This window comes from Homo sapiens, chromosome 2 (genome assembly GCF_000001405.40).
Source record: "Homo sapiens chromosome 2, GRCh38.p14 Primary Assembly".
Lineage (NCBI taxonomy): Eukaryota > Metazoa > Chordata > Mammalia > Primates > Hominidae > Homo > Homo sapiens.
Window position 1 is genome coordinate 67,902,494 of NC_000002.12, and position 19,198 is coordinate 67,921,691.

The window sequence follows — 19,198 nt, forward strand, 5'->3', positions numbered from 1 at the left end:
TGTGGCTGCTGCCAGGGAACCTGCATGAGGCTTCGGGAAGGAGGGTGCAAATGACTCATGTTTTTAATATTTTACTACTAACTGATCTTAAAGGTCATACCTATGTGTTTCTATGCTCAACATAAATTTAATTTTAAAAGAAAGTTACTCATGAGAGAAAGAAGAGTTTTGACATTTTTGCTTGGGATCAGAATTCCTGTCTGAACCACTGGGTTAGGCCAGATTGTTTGGAACTGACTGGTGCACAGCTCATGTCACCTGCCACTCACCACCCACATGTTCAGCAGCATCCACACTGGTCTGTACCCATTCAACAGGCTCATGCACTTGGATGTCACAGCAATGCCCAGTAGATGTACACATCTCTAAACACTTCTCAGTCTCTGTATTTATCTTGACACAGACCAACGACAAAGAGTTCACAGACTGGCATCAGTAAGTAGTCCACGTGTAATTTTTTTAAGACTATTTTCTGTCAGAGGGAAGTTGAGGACCTAAATATCACTTTAGATCTAAGACAGTTACAGTTTTTCTCTATTGGTTTTCAAAAACTATGTCTTTATCTATTGCATACTGACCTACTTCATGGGTTAATAACCACACCCACAGGTCTTTCTGAGACATTCTTCTGCCTTAGAGAATTAACTCAAACTCCTCATTTTACACATGAAGATGCTGAAAGCCAAAGAGGTGAAGTGACTTTCCCAAAATTCCACAGTTGGTTTGTTGCAAATTTCTGAATCCAGCTTGATGTCTTTGTCCATGACTCCAATGTGACCCGATATAGAAACATGTAATCTAGTCATTAAAAAAAAAAAAAAAAGTCTGTTTCAGAAGAATCTAAGATGACTTTTGGTAATGCTAATTGTCTTAACTTCCAACTATCGCTTAAGAATGGAGCTGCCGGCTGAGCACAGTGGCTCACGCTTGTAATCCTAGCACTTTGGGAGGCCAAGGCGGGCAGATCACGGGTCAGGAGATCGAGACCATTCTGGCTAACATGGTGAAACCCCATCTCTACTAAAAATACAAAAAAAAATTAGCTGGGCATGGTGGCACGCACCTGTAATCTCAGCTACTCGGGAGGCTGAGGCAGGAGAGTCACTTGAACCCAGGAGGCGGAGGTGGCAGTGAGCCAAGATCACACCACTGCACTCCAATCTGGGCGACAGAGTGAGACTTCATCTCAAAAAATAAATAAATACATAATAAATAAATAAGAATAGAGCTGCCAAAGTTGCATTTGGCATGTACAGGAGCGTGCACTTCTCCAGTGGCCCACAAGTTCCAGTCTGACAGGCAGCAGTACTGCAGGGTACAGGGAAGCCAGGCTCATGAGGACAGAACTCCCCTGGCAGAGTAGACACAGACTCTCAACAACAGGCACAAAGCCATGTTGATCAGAGCCATTGTCCAGGTCGCCAGATCCCACCTGATTACAAAGGCTCTAAACAAGCTACAGCACATTCATAGGAGGGCCTGCAGTTCTGAAACAACATCACTGGAGGAGAAATAGAAGGAGTAGGAGATGTTCAGGCTGGAGAAGAGAAAATTCAAGGAGACACAGAGCTGTTAGTAAACATTTGAAGAATTGTCACATGGCAGATGGATTAGACGTATTCCAAGGGACCCCAGAAGTTCATGCTAGGAAATGTCATCTTAATGTGCAGAAGAGTTTTAAGTAATTTCAGCTGTCTAATGACAGAATGATTGTTTTAAAAGGTTATAAGTGTCCTGTCACCAGAAGTATACAAGTAGAGATATTTAGAGAGATGTCACATATTGCCAGGTAAAATGCAGGATGCCTGCTAAATTTTAATTTCAGATAAATTATAAATACTTTTTTCATAGAAGTATGTCCCAAATATTACTTACGTGAGAAAAGCATTTATGGTTTATCTGAAATTTGAATTTAACTTGGTTTCTCCTATTGCCACTTGCTAACTCTAGTCACCCTAAGTGTTGAGGAAACAGCCTGGGCTATGATTTTCCCAATCTTTTGAAGATTATAGGAAGGTATGCTGAGACAGCCAGGCTGTTGTTGGTCTAAATGAAAAACATAATTTTTCTAAAGAAAAACTGCCCTCCCGAGTCTCTTAGAGCTAATACAAACTACCCAGCTGTTCCAGTGGGGCTGTCATTACAGAGCTCAATAAAATGGATCCTCTTCAGCTCTGGGGGATTGAGAGCTGCAGGGCTTCCTCACGCAACAATGAGGACTTGTCAGTTTTATTTAGTAAACATAATGTTTGACACCAGGCACTCCCCTCGTTTGTTTATATTTGGCTGCACAGCCAGCCAGGGGCAAGGCCCAGGTCTCCATGATCAGGGATCTTGTTAGAAAATAAGCAAAGACCATAGGTGTTCCCTGGAGAAAAGACCTAAGATCCAATCAGAAAAGGATTCATGCAAAACCTCACTGCTCCCATCCAAAACACACAACTCTGCCTGTGCCATCTCATGGGGAGAAGAGGCCCCATCTTCTGGTCTGTCTCCCCAGCCCCAGCCCTAAACACTGCACCTTCAACTCAAAAATGGAGTCTGTTTCATGGCCTGGCAGGTCCTGTGTCCGCTGGCTCACCACATTGCCAAGTTAGCGAATCCTGCACTGAAGCAGAAAGTACTGGAGCAGAAATTCTGAATTTCCTGCCTTTCATCAGTATAAGCCAGATGCTTGCTTCTCACCAGCTCAGCCTACTGAGGGAGGCAGACCATCTCCACTCAGCCAAATTGTGAATGTTTTAAAAGCTTCCAAAGGAAAATGGTCTTAAAAAAGGAAACAGAAAATGAAGCAAGCCTGGAAACGCCCATCCCATTTCCCTTGGCTCTCCCCGTGTCAAGTCCCTGTTTAAAACTGGTCTGCTGCACCTGAGCGTCATTCTTCAAAGGACTGATGATAGACACTGTGCATCGCATCTGGTGCTGCGGTAAGCCGACACCACCCAGCTGCTTGGCCTGTCAACTGGGTGGGCATTCCAGCTCTGAACCCCTCCAGGACATCCCAAAGAACAAAGAGGGTGGCAGTGGAGGAAAGGCCCTGATGGAGAGGAGCTAAAAAGAGGGGAGGGAGAGGGGATCCAGTCCAACCTGCAAACAACCAAATCTACCATGAAACAGGCAGAATGGGAAATAGGAGAGGGTGGCTCGTGAGGGGCACGTGATCCAAAAGCCCCATTTTCTGGCTCCATAGCACTAGATGCTGAGCAGCTGGAGTCTAAGCCCATGGACCCCATAGCTCAGACCAAGTTGAAGAGAAGAGCTGGATGGGCTTGCAAATCAGCAGAGCTGAAAATAGACTGATTCATTTCCCATCTATTCAAGCAGCCAGCTTGGTTCAGCTACAATAGGATGGCTCTGGGTAGCCGTCCCACAGAAAATAGCTATTTGTCAGCTGCTCAAGAGAGGCCAGGGAGCCAAAAGTCCAACTTTATTCCACTAACCACCTGGAAATGGAAAATGAATCAGAAAGAAGTTTGAAGTGTATATTTTTGTGCTTTGGTGAGGGACCTGCCCTGAGCAGATAACCTACAAACTCAACAGCAATCCATTCGGACTGGGTTTCCCAGAGGACATTGCAGAGAAGCAAGTCTTTTAAAGCTGTGATGGTGCCCACAAGTTCTATTCAGCTTCAGCTAGGCCCTTCCAGATGAATCGTCAGAGAATTCCTGGATCGGATGAAGGAAGCCAGAAGGCTGGGGTTCCTACCGCCTGTTTCGCTAGTGGTACCAAGTTTGGCTAGGAAGTTTCTATACTCATCTCCTCCCACCCAGCCCCACCCCGAGAAAAACTCTTACTTCACACTTTCCCCCTCCTAGTCATCTTAGCCAGTTAGAAAAGATGATGCTGTCAAAGAAAACAGCAATCACCACCCCCTGCCTCAGCTTACCACAATTTAGGCCAAAATTAAAATAAGTAGTTTAAAAAGGGAAACAAGAGGGAAAGGATTGATGAGAGATTGAGGGATAATAAAAGCAGGGAAAGGAAAGGAACGGAAAGGAAAGGAACGGAACGGAACGGAACGGAACGGAACGGAACGGAACGGAACGGAACGGAAAGGAAAGGAAAGGAAAGGAAAGGAAAGGAAAGGAAAGGAAAGGAAAGGAAAGGAAAGGAAAGGAAAGGAAAGGAAAGGAAAGGAAAGGAAAGGAAAGGAAAGGAAAGGAAAGGAAAGGAAAGGAAAGGAAAGGAAAGGAAAGGAAAGGAAAGGAAAGGAAAGGAAAGGAAAGGAAAGGAAAGGAAAGGAGAAGGCTGGAGGAAAATGGGAAAGAAATGACAATGGAAAGGGAGAGAAAGGCAAAGGAGAAAGTCAGGGGAAGAAGATGGGATGGGGAGGGTGGCTGACAGAGGAAAAACAGAGGGAAATCTAAATCACTGTCTCCCTTATCTCATTCCTCCTGAGAATCAAAACAGTTTAACTTACAAAAGGCAGAGACATTTCCAACTAGGGCAGTCCAGGGGCCATAGGATTCCAGCCTCTGAGCTTCAGGCAGGAACAAAGGAGAGAAGCAGGAAAGAAGTACCTTCCATCACAGCCCTGGGTGGGGGGAGTGGAGGGGCCCGGGCAGGGCTCTGGGGGAGCCTGAGGCCCGAGGGCAGAGGCAGGTAGCTTGGACATTCACCTCCACATCCAGGACAGGTCAAGACTGCGTAGAAGGGACTGATGTCATTCCCTAGACTTCCTCCCTTTTAGGTCGCACATTGTTTTAGGATCTTCCCTTGTTCTTTTCACTGACTTCCTGCCACTAGGATCTCCCCATAGCTTTTGCCTCTCTGGGACATTGCAGGAGACCACCGCTACCAGTGCCTTCTTGAGAGCTGCAGAAAACTGGAGTAAAGGAAGAAATTAAATAAGACCGGTGTGAAGCAGCCCTGTCGTCCAGAGTTCTCCTTCATCTGGAGAGAAAAGATTTGAGAGGAAGATTCCAGCAGTTTCAACCCCACACTAAATTTCCACCCTTAGCAAATTGCCACCTTGCCAGAAATTCTACAATTTACTATTCGTCAGTTACTGGTGCTTTCCTATGAATTGGCTTATCTGATTGCACAGGAATGCAAAGTGATATATACAAGATCTCCCCACCCAGGAGGTCTCCTAGGGCCATGGGCCATACTTGTGTGTCTGTATGTGTCTAAATACATAGAATACATTCACATAATCTTTCAAATGACCATGGCTGCCAAACAAATTTACCCTAAACTTAGTGATGTCAACCAACCATTTATTATGCTCACAAATTATCTGAGTCAGGAATTCAGAGTGGAACGAGAACAACTTGTCTCTGCTCCATGATGACTGAGCCATCAGCTGGAAGACCCAAAGCCTGGGGGCTGGAGTCATGCAGAGCCTGGCAGATGATGGTGGTTGATGCTGAGACCTTAGCTCCAGGTTGTCAGCCACACCACCTATGCATGGTTTCTCCATTTAGCCTGGGCTTCCTCCCTGCATTGTGTCTGGGTTCCCAGGATGAACAGCACCTCATAGAGAGCCAGTCTGAAGCCAGATCACCTTATGATCTAACTCAGAAGACACACAGCTTGTCTTCTGCCACATTCTATTCATCAAGATAATCACCAGTTTCAAGGGGAAGAGAAATGGACTTTCCTTCTTGATGGAGAACAGCATATAGAATCATCAATGTTGTGGCCAATAGCAAAGACATGGAATTTATCTAGGTGTTCATCAATGATAGATTGGATACAGAAAATGTAGTACATATACACGATGGAATATTACACAGCCATAAACAAGAATAAAGTCATGTCCTTTGTAGCAACATGGATGGAGCTTGAAGCCATTATACCAAGCAAATTAACACAGGAACAGAAAACCAAATACTGTATTTTCTCACTTATAAGTAGGAGCTAAACACTGAATACACATGGGCACAAAGAGGAGAACAATAAACACCAGGGCCTACTTGAGGGTGGAAGGTGGGAGGAGGATAAGGATCAAAAACTACCTATTAGTTACTATGCTCATTACCTGGATTACAAAACCATTTGTATTCAAAGCCCCAGAGACATGCAATTTACCCGTGTAACAAACCTGCACATGTATCCCCTGAACCTAAAGTCAAAGTTGGAAAGAAAAAATAAATAAATAAAAATAATTTTTAAAAAAATGTTGGGGCCAGGCCAAGGCGAGCAGATAAGGTTAGGAGTACAAGACCAGCCTGGCCAACATGGTGAAACCCCATCTCTCCTAAAAAAAAAAAAAAAAAAAAAATAGCTGGGTGTGGTGGCAGGCACCTGTAATCCCAACTACTCAGGAGGCTGTGGCAGGAGAATTGTTTGAACCTGGGAGCTGAGATCATCCCACAACATTCCAGACTGGGCAACAGAGCAAGACTCTGTCTCAAAAAAAAAAAAATGTCTATCTTTATATCTTTAGTAAATAGAGGCCGAGCACGGTGGCTCATGCTTGTAATTCCAGCACTTTGGGAGGCTGAGGTGGGCAGATCACCTGAGGCCTGGAGTTTGAGACCAGCCTGATCAACATGGTGAAACCCCATCTCTACAAAAAACAAAAAAAAAATTAGCTAGATGTGGTGGCACGCACCTGTAATCCCAGCTACTCGGGAGTCTGAGGCAGGAGAATCACTTGAACCCAGGAGGTGGAGGTTGCAGTGAGCAGAGATGGAGCCATTGCACCCCAGCCTCAGCAACAAGAGTGAAACTCTGTCTCAAAAAAAAAAAAAAGAAAAAAGAAAATAGAATCTGCCTCATACACTTACAGTATTTTCCCCAAACAGCATAATAACAGATGGCTAATGTATGCTTTACACTTTTCCAAACACTTGAAAGTACTTACAATATCAGATGCTCACAAAACACTCATGTACAAGGGAAGGCAGTTAATGCTATTCTTATTTTTCATATAAGAAAAATGCATACCAAAAAAGGTTGAGTGACACATGAAAGATCTGGCTTATTGGGGGATCAAAGACTAGAACCCAGGATTTCTCCCTCATGGGCCAGCCTTTTCCCAAGACACGACTCAGAACAGGACTGGCTTTGGGTGGCCCATGTTCACCATTTGTATCCACAGCAATGTCGGCAACAGCTTCAGGAGTCTGCTCTGTAGGAGTTAGAAACAGCTATTTGTACACTTCCCAAGCCTGTCTTATGCACCTGCCATAACTACACTCATGCTGTTCCCTGTGACTGGAATGGAATAACACTGCCCTCAAACCTGGTATCCTTTCTAGCTATTTATCCTTCACTAGCTGCTCCTCCAAGGTCGCCTCTGATAAGAAGCTTTCCCTGACTCCCCTAGAGGTAGTCTGACTCTGCTGTGGACTTTCACAGTTCTTGGGGTGGTTATTCTTCATCATTCTTACAACATTCTGTCATAATCTATATTTATACTACTGCCTTTTCAACCACACTGTGAGCTCCTTAATTGTAGAGATTTTTTCTCAATACCACTGTATTCCTAAGGCTCAAGGTACTACTGGACATGCTAGGTGCTCAAGAAATATCTATGAACAGTTTGACAGCTCCTCAAAAAGTTGATTACCACATGAGCCAGCAATTCCACTCCTAGGTATATGCCAAAACAATTGAATGAAGGAACTCAAAAAGATACTTCTACACCAAGTGCAAAGCAGCATTATTTACAAAGCCAAAAGGGAGAGACAACTCAAATGTCCAAGGACAGATGAGTGGACAAACAAAATACAGTATATAAATACAATGGACTATCATTCAGCCTTAAACAGCAATGAAATCTTGTCATATGCTACAACATGGACGAACCTTGAAGATATTACATGAAGTAAAATAAGGCAGTCACAAATGGAGAAATGCTGTATGGTTGCACTTCTATGAGTTACCTAAACTAGGCTAATTCATAGAGACAAAAAGCAGAATAGAGATCACCAGTAGCTAGAGGAAGGAGAAATGAGAAGTAGTTTAATGAGATTAGAGTTTCTGTTTGGAAAGATGAAAAACTTCTGGAGACGGATGGTAGTGAACGTTGTGCTATATTACAAATGTATTTTATGCCACTGAATTGCACACCTAAAAATGGTTAAGATACAGCAAATGTTATGTTATATGTACCTGGACACACCAAAAAAGTATCATTTATTCAGTCACTCAACTCAGAGAGTGTGGTAGAATAGAAATCCCCTTTGACTAAGACACTAGCCACTTGAGCCAGCTCCAATTCACCAAGTTGTATTAAACAAGTCACTTCACTTGTCTGGATTTCAGTTTCCTCATCTACAAAGTGAAGTTACACTGTGCCACCTCTCTGCTCACAGAAGCAGCCCTGTGAAGGGCTCTAAACAGGACAGCAGCTGGGATGCAGGGGGCAGGTGCTCCCAGCCTCTGCCAGGCAAAGGACCAGAGATGCACCCTGAGGCCCGGCCTTGTATGGGCTTCACCCATTTGGAAATCCAACAAGGCTGTCCAAATTACAGCAGAGAGGCCCTATAGACAGACACATGGGAGGCTTGCAGGGAGAACTCTTCCCCACACCTCCTCAAACAATCCTTTAAACCTTAACTTGAGAGTCCACAATAAGAAGCTTTTCTCTATTGCTTCACATTGTTAATATCAGTTTTATTTAATGTCCAATATTGGGTTTCATGTTGCCCAAAGCATCACATTCTGTTTCTTCCCCAAACATTAGCCTAAAGTACTAATGATCTACTTATTGCCAAATCCAATGCTAACTTTCAGACATTTCTTAGTTGACTCCTGAGGCATTCAACGATAATGGCTACTGTCTCCTTCAAGGTCTCCCCTCCACTCCCCTGGTGTTTTGACTGGCACCATTGTCCCAGTTCTCTCTGCCTCTCGGGCTGCCTCCACTTTCCTCTCATATGTTGCTCTGCCCCTGGCTTACAAGGGGCTTGCCTTGTTAATCTCTCTATTCTCACTGTCAAGAGTCTCAACTGCAATATGAGAATGATAATTTCCAAACCTGTATCTCCGGCCCATTCCTCTCTCCTAGACTCTGGGTCTGATCACCCAACCTCCTGTTACCTATGTCTACCTGACGAACCTCACCCAGGTAGCACAGGCTCCACATGTCCCATCCTGAATTCACTGTATCTACCCTGTTCCTCCTCCAAGGAGAAAGCGGCTCTTCCCAGTCACAAAGCAAGTTTGTTTCACTCTCTCTAGACACACAACTGTCTCTTTTTCTCCCCAAACTTATGTGCTTTCCCAAGTGTTTCATGCAGACTGTTCATTTCTTATGTCACTAGGACATACAGTAAAACCACATATCATCAGGTAAGGATGATGTTCACATTCCAAAATTGTAGGGAGATTTTTTTTTTCTCAGGAAGAAACAGTAACTCTAAAGGCCTGAGGGTATGCCATAGACAACTTGATGAGGTAGAGAAATGATGCTATGGCAAAGTAACATCAGAAAGGTCATAAGACAGAAAACAATAAGAGGCAGGGTGAGTTGGGAGGGGAAGAGAATAAGTATCAAAATCTCTCCATATCTTGAGAGCCAACTCACATAGGAAATAGATTCTGGATAATTAACTATGCCTGTAAACTTATCATCTCACTCCCAGCCCTGCAAATCTTTCTGAAACAGTCATTCTCTAGTGAAAACTACTGATAGTTCCCTTCCCGGGGGCAGTGTCTATCTCAAACCTCCCATCCATGAAATCCTTACTAGGGATGTTCTGCTTGGACACACAGGCCATCAACCGGGTACCTGCAAACTACAACCACAGGCAAAATTCAACTGACTGCCTGTTTTTATATGGCACTCAAGCTAAGAATGGTTTTTACATTTTTAAATGGTTTTTTAAAAAGTTAAAACAAGAATAGCATTTTATAACATATGAAAATTATATGAACTTTAAATTTCAGTGTCCATAAATAAAGTTTTGTTGGAACACAGCCAACCCAATTCATTTACATATTCTCTGTAGCTGCTTTCACACTACAACAGCAGGTCCACAAATCTTAAAATATTTACTATCTAGTTCTTTACTGAAAAAGTTTGCTGACGCCTGCCTTAAATCCACCTGAATTACACCCCTCCCCACCCCCAACTTCTTTGGAAGAAACCATATGCACTCCTAAGCCATCTGCTAGACTCTCTTCCCACCCAGTTCCAGGATCCTTAAATTAAATGGGTTATGTAAAGCCCAATTTAAATTTACAGCCCCCATTCCCTTTGCCCACAAAGCCCGTGCGATTCCTCCTACCTATGCTGAACTTTTTCTTTCTCTGAAATCCACCTGTTGTACTACTCGCTAGTGTGTTAATTTACTACATTGTGTCTTTATGTTTTATTGTGTTAGTACTATAAACTCCTTGAGGCAGGTTATGTGTGTTACTCAATTTAATACACATGGTTTGAGCTCTTAGTATGTGCAAGGTACTAAAGGAGTCTGAGGAGGCTTAAGACATAATCTGTTTTCACAGATTTACAATCTGGTAGAAATAGAAACATTAATTTTTATGATGCACTATATTTTAGACAGATAGACAGATAGATGATAGATAGATAGATAGATAGATAGATAGATAGATAGATAGATAGACAGATGTGAGAGTTCAAATAGGGGAAATGTCCCATCCAGTTGGGCAGGGAGGGAGAGCCAAACTAAGAACCAGAGTTCCTTGGGGCTCAACAAAGTATGATCAGGTTAACGATGAACCCCAAAGAGACAAAAGTTACCCCTGGTTCAGCTGGATAGGCGATCCCCTTCCCACCTGGAGAGTTTCCCTCAGGTTAGAAACTTAGAGAATCTAAACTTTCTGTCAACAGGAGAGATGTCTCCTTACCTTGCCATATGTATTGTAGATGACCAAGGACTTGAACCAGGGCCAGAGATTGACAAGTCCAAGGAGTGAGACTTTAGGTACAATGTAAAAAAGAACTCATATTCAGAGTTCAAAGATGAGACAGACTACTTTAAGAGAATATGAGAAGCCTCCTACTAAGAGAGGTTTAAATATATACTAGCTGCTCATCTAACAGAATGTAGGCAATGGTTGATATTTAAAGTGATTGGTCTGTAATTAGAAATATGATTACAGACCAGCAGCATCTACTTCACCTGGGAGTTAGATGCTATGCAGATTCTCAGTCCTCACATCCGAATTACTGGATTGGAATCTCCCAGAATCTAGTTATTGAAATTGCTCCAGGTGATTCGTAGCCATATTGAAAGTTGAGAACCGTGAACTAGACAACTTTTGAATTTCCTTTCAAACCTGAGTTCTCACCTTCAAAATGAGGAGCTAGAACCCCTTAAGAGACTAGACATTAGTAATGTTCTTGTAGATAACATCTTTGCTATTTCTCTAAAAGAGATTCCCAAAAACTACCAGTATCTTTACTGTTGTTGGGAGCATCAAATTTAAATACCAAGGAGATTCAGGAAATGTTATAAATTAGACCTTCTAAATGGTGTGCCATTATAGACATTTCATTTTCATATGTACTCAATTTCATATACCAACACGCTAAGGACTCCAAGCAATGCTTTCTTGGTTCATATCTGACCAATACCACATGTTCAGTCACAGCTAAAAGGGGCCCCATGACTTATTTTGATCCAACTCCAGGAGGAAACCCAGTGCCTGGGAACCTACAATCCTAATATCTTGGGTCCTAGTGTATGTAAAATACCATCCAAGTATATTTCCCCATTCTCAGTACCAAAAGGAAAAAAAGAAGGCAAAAGACTTGTACAATCTTTTTCCAGTCTCCCCACCCCCGCACAAATTGTATTCTGCACACATGCTGAAGCATTAGCATCGGCTGATTTGGAAGGAATATTGGAAATGAAGTGATAGCAGAGTAAATGTCAATGCATTCAGTGTGACACCGTGAGCACCAGATCTTAAACAGCTTCATCATTGTGGCATTTACTGTATCCTGAAATAATATTAATCCCACTGTTGTCCTTCTTGATGGAATCATCCATGAATATGGTTTATGGGCCTGGCCAAAGTGATAATAGGTTAAAAGAACAGCCTATCCAGTGTTCCACTAAATTAAGGTCGCTTCATGGAATTTAATGAAACAAGTGCTGCATGGGGTTTTCAAAGGACGTTCTTGTAATTCATGTCTATTTAGGGCTCCTGATAACCAGAAACCTAATTTCTTAGAGTAAAATAGCTTTCTGTAAAGCCTGGTCATATAGAAGAATAAAAAAGAAAAAACTTTAAAGGGCAATGATCAGACTTCCACTGTAATATTTTGTTATTTCAAATCCAAAGTTTAAGCAAAAAAAAAAAAAAAAAAAAGTTGGGAGGGAGCAATAAGACATTTTGAATAAAACAAAATATGAAAATTAATCAGATCCATATGTCATTCTGCAGCTGAATGCTGAAATAAAGATTTGGTCCTACCCACTCCCTTTAGCCACATACCTAGGGAAATAAAAAGGTCTTGGGATATAGGAGGCCACCGCATGCTAGAAATGATGAGAAATGAAATAACTGTTCTGACTTTGAGAGTGGTAGAGGGAAGACAATGGCAAATGTTTCTAGGCAGGTATTCCCATTCCACTTATCAAGGCTAAACAGGGCTCACACATTTAAACCTTCTCCAAGAGAGCCATAACCCCAGACTAATGTCCCTAGAGGTATTGGAACATTTCTTTACCCTTGCCAAAGACTAAGTGAAAGTATTAAACAATCGCAGGTATTTATTTTGAATCCAATATGGGTAGAAAGGACATTCCATCTATTTTAAGGTAGAGGTAAGTCCCAAAGAGATGCATTGAATTCTTTTTGAACTATTCCTTTTCTTGTCCCCTATCACCAATAACTTGATGGTTTTTCTGGTTACAGTGGAGATCACAAATTCAAATACCAATAGAGGACAGACAGGTAACTTAAATGGGTGAAGTGAGCTAGGAGAAATAGACATTGAGACTATGCTCAACAGGGGAGTGCTTGTCCCTTTAAGTCCCTTTAACAAGGAGAAGCCCATGTCAAGCTTGAGACCATTGGTTCTGTGCAGGAACATAGTGTTGCTATATTTTCAAGAGATTCCAGAAACTTTAAAATTTTATGTGAAATAATCTAGCTCTTAAGTGGCACAATTTAATTTTCTTTCAATTATAGGACGTCATGACTGTGGGCTGTGATCCTAACTCAGCTTTCAGATTAGGAGTTTGTCACTCTTGACAGAGCAACAGCCAGCAATGTCATTGAGGCTTTGAGGCACTAGGGTAGAAAAGAGAAAGTGGTATTAAATATAAACCCAAAAAGTATGTAGAACAATGCATAAATCACATTATATAAAGAGAAGCCATTACTCTATCTAACCCACTTTCTCTATGCATTGGGCCTATTTGCAGTCAATTTTCAGTTAATTTTGCTTTCTAGGCAAATCTTTGTAAAGGGCCTGAGGTCAGGGTTATTTTCTCTGACTCCAAGGCAGGTAGGGAGGGTCTGCAGCCACCCACTACCTTCTCAGTGACCCTTGCTGTTGGTCTCCATGAAAAAGTCCTCCTTTCCTCCCCGATCAGCCAAAGTCTATTCTGAGCTTCCCCTTTTCACTGAAAATTCAGAAGGCTGCCTCCCTGTCTCTCAGTCTATTTCAGTTATATTTCTCAAGGCAAAACCGGGTTAATTACCCAGAAAGTTGGCCGTCATTTAAGGGCCCGATTTACTTAGACCCAGAAGCCACATATGTGATAGATTCAGCACAAGTTCCCAGGGCAGCCTCCCTGATCCCCAACCCACGCATGGTAGGATGACCCAGTTTTTCCGCCTCTAAAATGCAAAAGGTGTAGTCTGGCCACAAACAAGGGCCCAGGTGCCTTCTGGGCAGGTATCCCCCGACTGTAAGCCAAGTAGAGAACTGTAAAAAGGCAAGCACTAGCCCCCAGCCACGGCCAAGGAAGGAGAAAATGGTGAAACTACAGTAGCTGTGCAAGCCCATGTGCCCATGTGGGTTGGAGCAGAACAAGGTCTCCAGCTGTCTGAGTGTTCCAGGAGAAAGCGCAGTGTGAAAGTGCACACTCTTTACCATGCATGGCCTAGCTCAAGGATGTCTTTTCCTTGACACTGTCTCTGCCAACTCCTTCTTCCTTTTTCTCCTGTGAGCACATAGCAGGTACGGTCTATACTGCGTGACACCTTGTCTTGTTCTACTATTTAACTCTTTTTGTGTCTAGACCTGAACTCTATGATGAACTATTTAAAAAGAGGTATATTTGTGATACCACTCTGCATTCCACACAGGGCTAACACTGAGCCCTGAGTGTATGTGCAGCCCAGTTCACATCTATGAAAGGAAGAGAGGAAAGAAGCTGTCCATCAACATACAAAAGTCAAACTCAGCCACAGAGGGAAATTCCACTACATAAAGGATACAGTCAGAGGATAAAAAAGTGGCACACATTGATCAATTAACAGTTTATAAAATGGGGTTTTCAGGCCAGGTGCCATGGCTCATGCCTATAATCCCAGCACTTTGGCAGGCTGAGACAGGCAGATCACTTGAGGTCAGGAGTTTAAGACCAGCCTGGCCAACATGGTGAAACCCCATCTCTACTAAAAATACAAAAATTAGCCGGGTGTGGTGGCACACACCTGTAATCCCAGCTACTGGGGAGGCTGAAGCAGGAGAATTGCTTGAACCTGGGAGGCAGAGTTTGCAGTGAGCTGAGATCGCGCACTGCACTACAGACGGGGCAACAGAGCCAGACTCCGTCTCAAAAAAAAAAACAAAAATGATTGGATTTTTAAGCTGACATTCCAAGTTCCCGGTCACAATAACCTGAAGTGAAATGGTGATACAATTTCTTCACAATCTTGTGATTCAGCCTTAATACATTCTTAAAATACTTATTTGGGTCTATTCATAACAACAATAAAAACCTATTACGACAGGAAATATATCCCCTAAAATATATTCTGATACTTGACAAAAAAAAAACACACACACACACACATTTGTCTTCCAATAATGCCAGAGGCCACTGGTTTGTAGTCAATTCAGAAAGAAGTCATTCATGAGGAATGTTTTTGGCTTCCAAAAACATTCAAAAAAATCAGAACAATGGAATCTCCTTTGGCAAATATGAGACATGAGACTATTTCCTCAGGGCAATCCAGATGTATCTCTGAGGACTCAGCTCCATAGGAATCAACATGATCTCCAGAGAATGGTGCAGGTCAGCTGGGGCTGTCCTCTCTCCACTACCACCCAGGCTTGAGCTCCCTTTCCCTTGCTCCTGGTCACTCTACTAACTTCCCAACTGGGCTCCTCTACATCTCCAAAGGAAGGTACTTTCTTACCTTTGCTCCAGTCAAGCTGAAATATTCACAGTTCCCTAGATAGGCCCTGACCCTCTCTGGGTTAATGACTGTGCTCAGTCTATTTTCTCTTCCTATAATGCTTTCTTCTCTTCCCCCCTACAATATTCCACTCCAGTCCATGATCCCATTCTTCCAACATGAGTCATTTCCTCAGGAAGACATTCCTGATCATTTCAAAATCTCCTCAGATGTGTCTCTCTCCTCCACCATATTTTTTTTTTTTTTTTTAGGCGGAGTTTCCTTCTTATTACCCAGGCTGGAGTGCAGTGGTACGATCTTGGCTCACTGCAACCTCCACCTCCCCGGTTCAAGCAATTCTCCTGCCTCAGCCTCCCGAGTAGCTGGGATTACACGGACCTGTCGCCGTGCCCAGATAATTTTTTTGTATTTTTAGTAGAGACGGGGTTTCGCCATGTTGGCCAGGCTGGTCTCGAACTCCTAACCTCAGGTGATCTGCTCGCCTCAGCCTCCCAAAGTGCTGGGATTATAGGCATGAGCCATCGCATCTGGCCTCCTCCACCATTATTTCTTTATCCATGGCACTTAGAGCATTAGACTTGAATGAGAAAGTAATCAGAGCTATCTATTTTCTTTATCGTTATGACACTTGGTACCTAACACTATGGCTACATAAAGAGCTGATCAAGAAATATTTATGAATGAATCCTTCTATTAGGTCTGAACTGTATCCTTCTATAAGGTATGAACAGGCTGAGAGGTCTTGGAAGTGGAAGAAATAAAATGGGATTCCATCTCCAGACTTGAATTCTTCTCCCAGAGGCAGAACACCAGAATTGATGGGAGCCAGGCACAGTGGCTCAGGCATGTAATCTCATCACTTTGAGAGGCCAAGGAGGGAGGATCGCTTGAGCCCAGGAGTTTGAGACAAGCCTGGGCAACATAGCCAAGACTCCATCTTTACCAAAAATAACAAATTAGCTAGACTCAGTGGTATGCGCCTGTAGTCCCAGCTACTTGGCAGGCTGAGGCAGGAGGATCTCTTGAGCCCAGAAGTTGGAGACTGCAGTGAGCCACCATTGGGCCACTGCACTCCAGCCTGGGTGGCAGAGTCAGACCCTGTCTCAAGAGCACAAAACGGCTGATCTGATGAAGCACATAGTCTTATTTCATGCCTCAGTGAAGACCAGAATGATTGGCTGTGCCCAAAAGAAGGGCACAGAGTCCCTCAAGAGGGGTGAATTTAGCTTCTCCAGAAGGGCACCTAGAGCAACAGAGACTTTCCCTCTGGGCAGCAGAAAAATGTCCACAATGCCATCATATGGTATAGAAATGTACTGGGCTTCTGTTGTTTTTGCCAGAACATGTTCATTTCTCCCCTTTTCTCCCCCCATCACATGGTTCAGGTTCAACCATTGTCTCCCTCCCTGAGTAAAGAAAAAAATTATTCATGACACTTTTTAAAGAATGGTAAGGGAGACTTTACTGAGGGAAACTATCAAGATAGTTATAAGGACTACTGCAATGGGGCCTTGCAGTGGGGAGAGAAATTGGGCTCAACTCTGAATACAATGAGGAAAAGTAGAAATTTCTAGCCAGTTGGGGGCAGGGGGACGGTGTGGATGGATGAAAAATTACTAAGAGGAAACATCGGGGGTGAGAGGTGATTCTGCCTAAACCAAACTAACAAGATTATTGCTGAAGGCTGCCTAGGGGAGGGTGGGAGTGAAGAATTTGGTGAGATATTTGGCAATCAGATACTAAAGGTGGGGGATTCTGGCTAAATCAGCTTAACAAAATTCTTGTCAAAATTGGGTGATACAAAGACAGACATGAAAGTACAAAAGTCAAGGCCTGGTTGGGAAGAAGAAAATTCAGAGGATTCTGACTAAAGTTTGGTCAAGTAAAGACTCTTTGTTACTCCCAGCATCCAGGAGGGGTCAGCAGGCCTGAAGCCAGAGCTGCCCAGAGAAAGTCAAGTCAAGGACCTAACAAAACCAGTAAGAAAGAGCTGCTCTCCATCTACTGGGTTGCCAAGCTGGAGCTCTTGCTGTTCACTTTTTCTAGCATGTGGGGAGGGCCTAAGAATGAAGGCAAGACAGAAGACAGCAGAGCTGAGAGGTGGTGAAAGAAGCAATGTCCTTATCTTATCACTAAGTCGCTGTATCCTTCCATGCCTGAAGTCAGTGCACCCTTGGACTTCCCAATAATATGAGCTTATATATTCTTTTTAGTTTGTTTAAGCCACTAGGTTTCTCTCACTTACAATCAAGAGTTGTGACTGAAACAATGGGAACCACTTTGCACCGAGAGGCAGACTGCCGGCTTGCTGTTCCCTGCTGTCTGACTGTGTGACCACAGGTAAGCTCCTGGGACTTTTCCATCTGATTACATGAAGCCATCGAACCAGGCTGATTCCTAAAGTTCCTAGTAGCCCTTGTTAGATATGAGTTCTAAATTTCAAAGAATCAATATGTCAGTATGTTCAATTCTTTGCCTTCTACTTTTAAGCTTAACTTCCTCGTAAAGCAACCTTTTCCGATTACCTGCTCCACCCTGACTAATTCCAATAACCTGCTCATTCTCCACCCTGACTCATTCTGATTTCCTGTTCTGCCATAACCATTTTTTCCCACCAAACCACTCACCCCGTCACTCTCTTTAAATTAACCAATCGGAATTAGTTTAGCCTGTGCGGTCTAACCCTAGCCAATAAGGGAACGACACAGCAGCAGGGGCTACGTGCGTCAGGGATAAGAACCCCTTCCCCTCCCTTGTCCAAGTGTGTGCTCACCATTGCTCCATCTGTAAGGGCGCACCCTTCTATAGAAGTACACTGCCTTGCTGAGAATTAAAAAGAACATTTTACATTCGAGTGCTATGTCTTTTGTGGCACCAAAACTCCATTTTTAACACCCTGACATTCTCTAAGTCACTCTCTAGACTGGACATTCTAGAGCAATGCTAAATCTAATTAAAACATAATTCTACAACTGATCTGCCATATTGTGATAATGATCAATGCTTTTGCGCCATTTTTAATTTTTTTTTTTTTTTTTTTTTTTTTTTGTCTTCAGTAGTAGTTTTGCTTTTGACAACACCAGAACAGTGTGAAGCTCTTATTCCCTCACTGGGGGGCTTTGACATCTCACCACTGGGCTGAAAGAAAGTTATTTAAAACAACTTCAGTTCTGAAGCCATCCTCATAGGGTTAACAATTCTGGACAGAAATAGAGTTATAATTAAGCATTAATCAGGCTTCACTTCGGCTGACTTCCTTGTAACTGAAAGTCATGGAACACTGGATACTGACCGTTCACATCCCCGTTGTTCCTATAGACAGGATTTCTGACATTAGATAGAATCGCCGATGTTAGAATCATAAGGCTTTTGTTTAAGAATTGATTAAGCAAATCCTGAATTCCAGCAGAACAGCTGATGTCAACCAGTTTAAACACCCCCTTGGAGAAACCGAATCTGCATGAAAATAGAATTTCTTCATCTGCCTGTCTCATGACTTCACCCTGCACCCTCCCATCGATCAATGATCTCTACTTTGAACCCCTTAAAAACCCTAGCCTCGAACTCCTTTGGGGAGACAGATTTGAGGTTTCCTCCCACCTGCTCATTAGGCAGCCCTACAGTTAAACCTCCCTTTCTGCTGCAACACCATGTCTTGGTATATTGACTTGCTGTGTGCATCTGGCAATGGACCTATTCCAGTTATGCTTCCAGCCAATCAAATGGCACTGGCCCTGGTGGACCTGACTTGTCCATCTAGAATCTGATGAGCAGACACCTGACTGTGCTGCCTTGGCATATTTCATGATCACACAAAACCAAATTACTTAGTGCTTATTGTAGGTCAGACATTGTTATCCAGGTCTTGGGGTAAACAAAGGAAAAGAGGATCCTTGCTCTCCATTCACAGTTAACTGGGAAGACAAGACACAAGACACATACAGGACAGTGC

General features: G+C 43.1%; 1 annotated feature.

The window, feature by feature from the left end:
- Nucleotides 17,157-18,356: an enhancer, noted in NCBI's record as "BRD4-independent group 4 enhancer chr2:68146782-68147981 (GRCh37/hg19 assembly coordinates)". NCBI's record gives its function as "activates an origin of replication core promoter dependent on BRD2, P300/CBP, MED14 and CDK7 cofactors, and independent of BRD4, by STARR-seq in HCT116 cells {active_cell/tissue: HCT116}" and the evidence as "EXISTENCE:reporter gene assay evidence [ECO:0000049][PMID:35650434]".